Consider the following 12,014-nt stretch of genomic DNA (forward strand, 5'->3'; position numbering starts at 1 on the left):
GTTTATTTCCTGTTGTCCTTCAAAGGGGGCTGGGGGGAAGTGTGCAGAGGCCTGGCCCCCAGGAGCCCTGGAGTTACCTAGGGCATTGCCTGACCTCAGTGGGGCCGCCTGGGTGCCTCCGCACGGTGTCCCGGGGCCCCTCCCCTGTCATCTTGTTTGACCCTTCACTTCAAGTTCATTTCACTAGCACCAGGCCAGAGCAACCTGCTTGGGAAATGCCACCTTGTTTGGGGGCTGGGGACAAGGGAGTGAGACGGGGAGGAGCCCAGGTCCCAGGCCAGCCTGCCCCTCACCTTCCAGGGCACCTGTGGGGACATCATGCCCTCCGGGCCTCCGTTTCTGTAAGCTGCGGATGTGGGACCTCTGCAGCCTTCCTTCAGTTATTTTTTCCTTTTGAAAAAAAATTGTAAAATACAGATAAATTTCTAAGTGCACAGCTCAGCGGCATTAAGTGTATCCACACGGTTGTGCAGCCATCACCACCATCCTCTCCAGAACTTGTATCTCCCCAAATTGAAACTCTGTCCCCATGAAACACTCCCCGTCCCCCTCCCCAGCCCCTGGCACCCCCCATCCTACCTTTTGTCTCCCTGAATCTGACAGCTCTATGGACCTCCTAGGAGTGGAACCATGCGGGGTGTGTCCTTCTGTGTCTCTGGCATCTCTCACTGAGCATGATGTCCTCAAGGTGCATCCACGCTGAAGCCCATGTCCGGATTCCCTTCCTTTTCGTGGTTCAGTAATATTCCACTGTGTGGATGGGCCACGCTGTGTTGATCCATCTATCATCGATGGACGTCTGGGTGGTTTCCACCTTGTGGCTGTTGGCAGTCGTGCCGCTGTGCACCTGCGTGTGCAAGCTTCTGTTTGAGTCCCTCCTGTCTGTCCTCGTGTGTGTGCATCCAGAGGTAGCATTGCTGGGTCCTCTGGTCTTTCTTTTTTTGGATGCACCTTGAGGAGTCTCGCTCTGTCGCCAGGCTGGAATGCAGTGGCGCGATCTCGGCTCACTGCAGCCTCCACCTCCCGGGTTCAACCAATTCTCCTGCCTCAGCCTCCTGAGTAGCTGGGACTACAGGTGCCTGCCATCACGCCCGGCTAATTTTTGTATTTTTAGTAGAGATGGGGTTTCACCATGTTGGCCAGGATGGTCTCCATCTTGACCTCATGATCCTCCCACCTCGGCCTCTCAAAGTGCTGGGATTACAGGCGTGGACCACCGCGCCCGGCCTCTATTTTAATTTTTTGGGGAGCTGCCCGACTTTTCCACAGCAGCTGTGCCATGTCACATCCCGCCAGCTGTGCACAAGGGTGCGATTTCCCCACATCCTCTTTCAGTTTCATTGAGTCCGATAGGCCTGTCCGTCAGGCTTAAGGCCCCTTGCTGTGCCCGATGCTGCCCCAGATACTACAGTGCAGCAGAGAAGGTGGCACTTACCAGCACGACTTCACCTAGGAAGAGAAATGGAGCAGGGAAGTGGGACAGGATGGGGAGATGGTGGCTGTTGCTTTTCTTTTCTTTTTTTTTTTTTTTGAGTTGGGGTCTAGCTCTGTCACCCAGGCTGGAGTGCAGTGGTGCGGTCTCAGCTCACCTCAACCTCTGCCTCCTGGGTTCAAGCGATTCTCCTCCCTCAGCCTCCCGAGTAGCTGGGACTACAGGCGCCCACCACCACACCCGGCTAATTTTTGTACTTTTAGTAGAGACGGGGTTTCACCATGTTGGCCAGGCTTGTCTCAAACTCCTGACCTCTGGTGATCCGCCCGCCTTGGCCTCCCAAAGTGCTGGGATTATAGGCGTGAGCCACAGCGCCCAGCCAATGGTGGCTGATTCTGGTGGGCTGTTCCTGGTGGGCTGTACAGGAAAAGCCTGATAAAGTGGTGCGTGAGTAGCATCCTGGGAGACAGGAAGGGAAGGAGCCATGCTGTGGCCTGAGGGTGAGCCAGGCAGAGGCACAGCTTGTGCAAAGGTCCTGGGGCAGGACCATGCCTGATGTGTTGGAGGAGCAGCGAGGAGGCCCGTGTGGTTGGAGCGGAGGGAGGGGGGGAGGGCAGGGAGGGTTGGTCTTTTACCCTCAGAGGGAGGTGGGAGCCCTGGAGGGACGCAGGCAGAGCAGAGACAGGACCTGACAGGTGCTCACAGGCGGCCTCTGGTGGCTGCTGCTGGGAGGACAGACGGGTGAGGGCGGGAGCCAGGGGACAAGGCTGGTGCAGGTGGCAATGATAGGTGTGGATCAGATGGCAGAAGCAGAGGTGGGTGAGTCAGCTAAGGGGCGTTGAGTGCTGGGGGGAGCTGGGCCCGGCATGGATATCGCAGGTGCATATAGTGCCCCCAGTGGCCAGCAGGAGTCGCCCCAGACAGCTCCTTGCCTGCCCCTAGCCCCCTGCCCATCCTAAAAGGAAAACCGAGGCACAGAGGGTGAGCGTCTTGCCTGAGGCAGCTTGCCCTGACGGCTGGCCAGTCCTTCCTAGGTCCTGACAACAGCCCTAGCCTGTTCAGCTGGGCAGGCAGCTCCAGCACCCCCCGCAGAATCCATAGGACCCGGAGCAAAATGAAAACACAGGGTCCCTGTTTAAAAATTCCGAGGAGGCCGGGTGCAGTGGCTCATGCCTGTTATTCCAGCACTTTGGGAGGCCGAGGCGGGCGGATCGTTTGAGGTCTGGAGTTCAAGACCAGCCTGGCCTACATAGCGAAACCTCGTCTCTACTTAAAATTCAAAAAATTAGCCGGGTGTGGTGGCGCATGCCTGTAGTCCCAGCTACTTGGGAGGCTGAGGCACAATGATCGTTTGAACCTGGGAGGCAAAGGTAGCAGTGAGCCGAGATGATGCCACTGCACTCTAGCCTGGGCGAAGAAGTGAGACTCCTCAAGATAAATAAATAAACAAATAGGCCAGGTGCAGTGGCTCATACCCATCTCTACTAAAAATACAAAAATTAGTCGGGCGTGGTGGCTCACGCCTCTAATCCCAGCATTTTGGGAGGCTGAGGTGGGTGGATCACTTGAGGTCAGGAGTTCGAGACCAGCCTGGTCAACAAGGTGAAACTCCGTCTCTACCAAAAATACAAAAATTAGCTGGGTGTGGTGGCGGGCGCCTGTAGTCCCAGCTACTCAGGAGGTTGAGGCAGGAGAATCGCTTGAACCCGGGAGGCAGAGGTTTCAGTGAGCCAAGATCGTGTCATTGCACTCCAGCCTGGGTGACAGAGTGAAACTTTCTCTAAAAAAAAAGGTGGCTGGGAGTGGTGGCTCACGCCTGTAATCCCAGCACTTTGGGAAGCCGAGGCGGGCGGATCACGAGGTCAGGAGATTGAGACCATCCTGACTAACACTATGAAACCCGGTCTCTGCTAAAAATACAAAAAATTAGCCGGGTGTGGTGGCGGGTGCCTGTAGTCCCAGCTACTTGGGAGGCTGAGGCAGGAGAATGGCATGGACCGGGGAGGCAGAGCTTGCAGTGAGCCAAGATCGCACCACTGCACTCCAGCCTGGGCAACAGGGTGAGACTCTGTGTCAAAAAAAAAAAAAAAAAGCAAAATCTTAGAGTTATTGGAAGTGTAAATTGGTGCATGCACTTTGGCAAAAGATAGTTAATATCTAGGAAATACTTTATAACCCAGCAATTCTACCATTGGGTATTTACCTACAGAAAGCCACACATATAATCACAAAAGACATGTACCAAATGCCCATAGCTGCCCTATTCATTACAGCCCCAAACTAAAATTTAACCAAATGCCCATCAACAGTAGAATGGATGAATAGATTGTAGTTTATTTATCCAGAGGAATAGTCTATGACAATCAGGATTAATGAACCACAACCATGTACACAATATGAGTTAATCACACAAACATCACGTGGAATGATAGAAGCCAGATGTACCTGAACTCATTTTATGTAATTCTGTGTGCATAAAGTTCAAAACTGGCAAAAATTCACCATGATTTTGAGGATTTTTTTTTTTTTTTTTTTTTTGAGATGGAGTCTTGCTCTGTTGCTCAGGCTGGAGTGCAATGGTGCAATCTCGGCTTACTGCAACCTCTGCCTCCCAGGTTCAAGTGATTCTCCTGTCTCAGCCTCCTGAGTAGCTGGAATTACAGGCACCTGCCACCACATCTGGCTAATTTTTGTATTTTAGTAGTGACAGGGTTTCTCCATGTTGTCCAGGCTGGTCTTGAACTCCTGACCTCAGGTGATCCACCTGCCTCAGCTTCCCAAATTTTTGGGATTACAGCTGTGAGCCACTGCGCCTGGCCTGAAAGGTCTAATATTTTAAGCTTCTACTCCCAAGAAATTAGAAAGAGAAGAGCAAACTAAACACAAACTAAAGAGAAAATAATAGAATAGAAATCAATGGAATAAAAAATAGAAAAACAGTATAGAAAAATCAATAAAGCCATAAGCTGGTTCTTTGAAAAAAATTAATGAAATTGATAAACCTTTAGTCTAGATTCACCCTCCAGAGAGAAAAAGAAATTACCAGCAACAGGCACAAAGGAGGGGATATCATTACTCACCCTAAAGAAATTTAAAGGATAATAAGGGAATACTACAAATAAGTGTATGCACATAAATTTGACAACTTAAAGGAAATGGACCAATTTCTCGAGAGACACAAGCTACCAAAACTCACTCAGGAAGAAACAGAAAACCTGAACAGTCCTATACGTATTAAAGAAACAGAATTTGAAGTTAAAGTCTTCTAAAGAATAAAACATTTGGGAGGCTAAGGCGGGTGGATCACGAGGTCAGGAGATCAAGACCATTCCGGCTAACGCGGTGAAACCTCGTCTCTACTAAAAATACGAAAAAATTAGCTGGGCATGGTGGTGGGTGCCTGTAGTCCCAGCTATTTGGGAGGTTGATATAGGAGAATGGCGTGAACCCGGGAGGCAGAGCTTGCAGTGAGCCAAGATCATGCCACTGCACTCCAGCCTGGGTGACAGAGCGAGACTCTGTCTCAAACAACAACAACAATAAAAAATGAAAAATAAAATAAAACTTTAGGCCCAGATGGTTTTAGTGGTGAATCCTATCAAACATTTAAAGAAAAAATAACATCAAATTCTTCACAATCTGTTTCAGAAAATAGAAGAGGATGGAATACTTCCCAACTCATTTTAAGAGGCCAGTATTATCCTGATACCAAAATTAAAGACAGTACAGGGAAATTACAGATCAGTATACTCAAAAACATAGATACTAAAATCCTTAACAAAATATTAGCAAGTGAAATAATGAAATCCAGTGATATACAGAAAGAAAACCACCTCACCACCAGGTGGCATTTATCCCAGGAATACAAGACAAGCTCAACATTGGAAAATCAGTCAATATAACTTGCCATATTAACAGACGAAAGAAAAACTACATGATCATATCAATAGATAAAGAAAATACATTTGATACAATTCAACTTTCATTCATGATAAAAATTCTAAGCAAATTAGGAGTAGAAAGGAACTTCCTCAACCTGATAAAGGGCATCTGTAACAAACCACAGCTAAACAACAACAACAAAAATACTATTGGCCAGGTGTGGTGTCTCATGCCTGTAATCCCAGCACTTTGGGAGGCTGAGGTGGGTGGATCACCTGAGGTCAAGAGTTCAAGACCAGCCTGGCCAACATGGTGAAACCCCCGTCTCTACTAAAACTACAAAAATTAGCTGGGCGTGGTGGCACATGCCTGTAATTCCAGCTACTCGGGAGGCTGAGGCAGGAGAATCACTTGAACATGGAAGGGGGAGGTTGCAATGAGCCAAGATCACGCCATTACACTCTAGCCTGGGCAACAAGAGCAAAACGCTGTCTCAAAAAAAAAAAAAAAGAAAAGAAAAGAAAAAAAAGAAAAAAATATGTACACAAATGTATATAGCAGCTCTGTTCATGATCACCTCAAACTGGAAGCAACCAAATGCCCCTCACGGTTGGATAAAGGGGAATGCATCCACACAGGGAAATACCACTGGACCATCCAAAGCAACGAACTTCTGATACACTCGGCAACACAGAGGAATCGCAAATGCTAACTGAAAGAAGCCAGTCTCAAAAGCTACTTTCTGGACCAGGTGCGGTGGCTCACGCCTGTAATCCCAACGTTTTGAGAGGCTGAGCTGGGAGGCCAGGAGCTCCTGAGCAGCCTAGGCAACACAGAGAAACCCATCTCTACAAAAATAAAAAAATTAGGGCCGGGCGCGGTGGCATCCGCCTGTAATCCCAGCATTTTGGGAGGCTGAGATAGGTGGATCACTTGAGGCCAGGAGTTCAAGACCAGCCTGGCCAACAGGGCGGAAACTTTGTCTCTACTAAAAATACAAAAATTAGGCGGGCACGGCGGCTCGCACCTGTAATCCCAGCTACTCGGGAGGCTGAGGCAGAAGAATTGCTTGAACCTGGGAGGTAGAGCTTGCAGTGAGCTGAGATCGTGCCACTGCACTCTAACCTGGGCGACAGAGTGAGACTCTGTCTCAAAAAAAAAAAAAAAAAAAAACATTAGATGGTGGTGGTGCGCAGTACTCGGAAGGCTAAGGTGGGAAGATCGCTTGAACCCAGGAGGTCAAGGCTGCAGTAAGCCATGATTGCACCACTGCACTCCAGCCTAGGCGAGAGAGAAGGGCCTTGTCTCAAAAAATAAAATAAAAAACATAGCAACAGCTATTTCCCTCGGAGCGAGCGGGGGCGGCGGCCTGTGCAGCAACGGCCAGGATCAAGGCCCAAGACCTTCTCGGGAAGAAGGAGGAGGAGCTGCTGAAACAGCTGGACGACCTAAAGGTGGAGCTGTCCCAGCTGCGCGTCGCCAAAGTGACGGGCGGCGCGGCCTCCAAGCTCCCTAAGATCCGGGCGCGGTGGCTCACGCCTGTAATCCCAGCACTCTAGGGAGGCCGAGGCGGGCGGATCACGAGGTCAGGAGATCGATACCATCCTGGCTAACACAGCGAAACCCCGTCTCTACTAAAAATACAAAAAAATTAGCCGGGCGTGGTGGCGGGCGGCTGTAATCCCAGCTACTCACTCGGGAGGCTGAGGCAGGAGGATGGGGTGAACCCGGGAGGCGGAGCTTGCAGAGAGCCGAGATCTCGCCATTGCGCTTCTGCCTGGGCGACAGAGGGAGACTCTGTCTCAAAAAAAAAAAAAAAAAAAAAAAAAAAAAAAGATCCGAGTCGTCCGCAAATCCATTGCCCGTGTTCTCACGGTTATTAACCAGACTCAGAAAGAAAACCTCGGGAAATTCTACAAGGGCAAGAAGTACAAGCACCTGCACCTGCGGCCTAAGAAGACACGCGCCGTGCGCCGCCCGCTCAGCAAGCACGAGGAGAACCTGACGATCAAGAAGCAGCAGCAGAGCGAGCAGCTGTCCCCAGTGCGGAAGTGCGCGGTCAAGGCCCGAGTGGCGCGTTGTCAATAAAGCACAGCTGGCTGAGAAAAAAAAAAACAAAAAAAAAAACACCAAAACAAACAAACAAACAAAAAACACAGCCACAAAGAGCCAATCCACGGTCAGGAGGGAGTTGTTCCGGTGATGGAACTACATTCTGTATCCTGTTTATAGCAGTAATTTACACGAATCTCTACAGCTGTTAAAACTCATAGAAACCAGGCCGGGCGCGGTGGCTCACGCCTGTAATCCCAGCACTTTGGGAGGCCGAGGCGGGCGGATCACGACGTCAGGAGATCGAGACCAGTCTGGACAACATGGTGAAACCCCGTCTCTACTAAAATACAAAAAAAATTAGCCCGGCGTGGTGGTGGGCACCTGTAGTCCCAGCTATTCGGGAGGCTGAGGCAGCAGAATGGCGTGAACCCGGGAGGCTCAGCTTGCAGTGAGCCGAGATCGTGCCACTGCACTCCAGCCTGGGTGACAGAGACAGACTCCGTCTCAATAAATAAATAAATAAATAAATAAATAAATAAACTCATAGAACCATACACCAAAGAAAGTAAATACAATGCTACATAAATTTAGACAATTAAAAACAAGATCTTTTTTTGGGGGGGACAGACCCTTGCTCTGTCAACCCAGGCTGGAGTGCAGTGGGTCAATCATAGCTCACTGCAGCCTCAACCTCTCTGGCCTAAGCAATCCTCCCACCTTAGCCTCTGGAGTACCTGGGACCACAGGCATGAGCCACCACCCCCGGCTAATTTATTTTATTTTATTTTTTAGAAATGGGGTCTCACTGGGAAGGTGGAGGTTGCAGTGAGCTGAGACCGAGCCATTGCACTCCAGCCTGGGCAACAATAACAAAACACCGTCTCAAAAAAAAAAAAAAAAAAAAAAAAGAAAGAAAGAAAGAAAAAAGAAAAAAAGAGATAGAGTCTCACTATGTTGCCCAGGCTGGTCTTGAACTCCTGGGGTCAAGCAATCCTCCCACTTCAGCCTCCCAAAGTGCTGAGATTATAGGCATGAGCCAACATGCCCAGCTGAAATAGATCTTATTAGCAAAAAATACCCCCCAAACCCGGAAATAAATATTAATACCACAGAAGTCAGAATGATAGTTACTGCTGGGAAGGTAGAGATTACTATGAGGAAAACACTAGGGGTCTTTGTGGGGCTAAGGTCTTTTTTTTTTTTTTTTTGAGACAGAGTCTTGCTTGTCACCCAGGCTGGAGTGCAGTGGCACGATCTCAGCTCACTGCAACCTCCACCTCCCAGGCTCAAGCAATACTCCTCCCCCGGCCTCCCGAGTAGCTGGGATTACAGGTGTGCACCATCACACCTGGCTAACTTTTCTATTTTTAGTAGAGACGGGGTTTCACCATGTTGTCCAGGCTGGTCTTGAACTCCTGACCTCAGGTGATCTGCCCACCTTGGCCTCCCAAAGTGCTGGGATGACAGGCGTGAGACACCGCGCCCGGCCTGAAAATGTCCTTAGTCTTGGCCTCAGTGGATTCTGTGGATACCGGCTTCACAACAATTTATTAGGTAATACATTCAGGTTTTATGTGTTTTCTGAAAGAAATATTTTCTACACACACAAGCTCACCCTGGTGTTCCCAGCTGAGCTAATAATACACGACAAATGCTCAGCATGTGGCAAGGAAGTAGCTCAGCCCGTTTAGGGAACCGCAAGGGAGGTTTGTTCAGCAGCTGGAGAAGTGGGCAGAGCCTGGGCCCTGGATCCAGGGAGCCGGCTCATTAATTCTGAAGCCAGCGGGAGCCACAGAGGGTCTGCCACCCTGGTCCAGGCTGTGAAGATGGCGGGTGCTGGTATCCTGTCCAAAAATGCCGCAGGGAGATGCTAGGAGAGTGGCCCCCTGGGCTCACCCTGTGGGGCCTGTGGCTCAGCCTCGTCTCCCAGTTTTGCTGGTCATTTCTGTTTCAACCATCCTGGAAGATCTGCACGGCCATGACCTATTTCTGCGTTTCTTTGCCTGTCCTGGGTGGGACTGCCCCTCGTTGCTGCTATCCGGTTGGGGGCGGGAAGGTGGGTGGCTGGGTGGGCAGATGGCACCTGCCAGCCCCAGTGACCAGATGGGGGCCCCTATCGTACTTCCCATCTGTCATTCGTTATGAATCAACAGTGGAGAAAACCACACGTTTGTGCTGAGCTGGTGAAGCTGCGTCAACGGCTGTCACCGAGCCCTGGTGTCTGGGAGGAGGTGGGGACGGTGGCTGCCAATGGCTGTGTGGCCCTGGGCACGTAATTCGCCCTCTCTGTGCCTTGCCCTATCTGTAAAGGGACCAGAGGCCCCCGAAGTACAAGAATTACGTGTATCTCTTGGGGAGGAGAGTTTTGATCCAGAACTTTCTAGAATTTTCTACAGCCTGTCAATGGGGGTGGGGAATCTTCACCCAAACACTCTGGCTCTGAGTACCTAGGAAGCAGCAACGTTTCTACCAAGCTGCCAGCCACCAGCCCACCCCTAGGGCCCTGAAGTCCCAGAGGGATCAGGTCAGGGCGGCCTCATGGCACTCATTGGGAAGATCTCCTTGACCAGTGAGGTCCACTCCCAAAGTCCCTCTTACACCCGATCTGCCTGTCTGACTTCTGATCCTGAATATCACTTGTCTGTGCGACCTTTGTTGATCCATTTAGAGCAATGACCTTGAACCTTCCCCAACAACATCTCTGCTTAATTTTTCTGGCAGAATTTTTCACCATCCAACGGGCTCAGGTGTATTAAAAAATATATATATTTTACACGTGTGTGTATATATATACACACATATATATTTTTATGTATAATATACATATATGTATATTAAAATGTATACTTTTATGTGTGTATATATGTATGTGTATATATGTATGTGTGTCTATATATTGTGTATATATATGTATGTGTATATATGTATGTGTATATACATATATGTATGTGTGTCTATATATTGTGTATATATATGTATGTGTATATATATGTATGTGTGTGTGTGTATATATATACATAGAGAGAGAGGGAGAGTTTTGTTTTGTTTGTTTCTGGAGACAGGGTTTCACTATGTTGCCCAGGCTGGAGAGCAGTGTTATGATCTCGGCTCACTGCAGCCTCCATCTTCGGGGTTCAAGTGATTCCCTTGCCTCAGCCTCCCAAGTAGCTGGGACTACTGGTGCGTGCCAACATGCCCAACTAATTTTTGTATTAGTAGAGATGGAGTTTCTCCATGTTGGCCAGGCTGGTCTCAAACTCCTGACTTCAAGTGATCCTCCTGCCTCGGCCTCCCAAAGTACTTTGATTACAGATGTGAGCTCCCGCACTCACCTGGCCAAATTTTTTATTCTTTTATTTTTTATTTTTTTTGAGATGGAGTCTCACTTCGTCGCCAGGCTGGAGTGCAGTGGCACGATCTCAGCTCACTGCCACCTCTGCCTCCCGGGTTCAAGCGATTCTCTTGCCTCAGCCTCCCAAGTAGGTGGGACTACAGGCGTGCACCACCACGCCCGGCTAATTTTTGTATTTTTAGTAGAGACGGGGTTTCGCCGTGTTGGCCAGGCTGGTCTCGATTTCTTGACTTTGTGATCTGCCCGCCTTGGCCTCCCAAAGTATAGGGATTACATGCGTGAGCCACCAGGCCCAGCCTAAAATTTATTTTATTATCTGTTCTTTAACTAGAACCTTAGGTAAGGAGGTCTGGGATCTGTGTCTCTTGGCTACCGTGCCTGGCACACAGTTGGCGCTCCATGAATGCACGCACAATGAAGGGATGGCCCTGCCTGGAATCTGCCTGGTAGGCGTCTAGACTCTGGGGCCCCGCAGGTGAGGGATAGGCTCCCGGCTCTGCCTTGTGCCAGCCCCACCGGTCACTCCCCTGCTCTATGCCTCAACCTCCTCATCAGTCAAACAGGGATGACAGTAGTAACTATACAGGGTGATGTGAGTGTAAAACCAGCTAATGTGAGCCAAAACCCGGCTAATTTTTGTATCTTTAGTAGAGACAGGGTTTCGCCATGTTGGCCAGGCTGGTTTCGAACTCCTGACCTCAGGCAAGCTGCCCACCTCTGCAGGGTGGATCACCTGAGGTCAGGGCAGAGTCGCTGGAAACAGTCCATGACACCTGGCCTGAGCTGTTTCTTAAAAATATATCAGAAGGGCCGAGCGTGGTGGTTTATGCCTGCAATCCCAGCACTTTGGGAGGCCGAGGCGGGTGGATCACCTGAGGTCAGGAGTTTGAGACCAGCCTGGCCAACGTGGTGGAACCCTTTCTCTACTAAAAATCCAAAGTTAGCCCGGCGTGGTGGTGGATGCCTGTAATCCCAGCTACTCGAGAGGCTGAGGCAGGAGAATTGCTTGAACCTGGGAGGCAGATGTTGCAGAGTCAAGATCCTGCCACTGCACTCCAGCCTGGGCAATAAGAGTGAAACTCTGTCTCAAAAAAAAAAAAAAAAATATATATATATATATATATATATATATATATATATATATATATATATACACATATATATATATACACACACATATATATATGATATATATATAATGTATCAGCAGTAGCACGGGTCTGACGGTTCCTGATTGGCTCCGAGGAGGGGGACAGCTCCGGGTGAAGCCTGAGGAGAATCCGCCCCTTCTCC

General features: G+C 49.5%; 1 long non-coding RNA gene and 1 pseudogene across 1 annotated transcript; one reads left to right on the top strand and one right to left on the bottom strand.

The window, feature by feature from the left end:
• Positions 294-2,613, bottom strand: LOC124904615 (uncharacterized). The gene is made up of 3 exons (XR_007067092.1): positions 1,590-2,613; positions 580-1,449; positions 294-390 (listed from the first exon to the last, which is right to left on the bottom strand). It is a non-coding gene; the product is annotated as an uncharacterized LOC124904615 (long non-coding RNA).
• RPL35P10 (ribosomal protein L35 pseudogene 10) lies at positions 6,652-7,419 on the top strand (annotated as a pseudogene).

Source organism: Homo sapiens, chromosome 19, assembly GCF_000001405.40.
Source record: "Homo sapiens chromosome 19, GRCh38.p14 Primary Assembly".
In the NCBI taxonomy this organism is placed as follows: domain Eukaryota; kingdom Metazoa; phylum Chordata; class Mammalia; order Primates; family Hominidae; genus Homo; species Homo sapiens.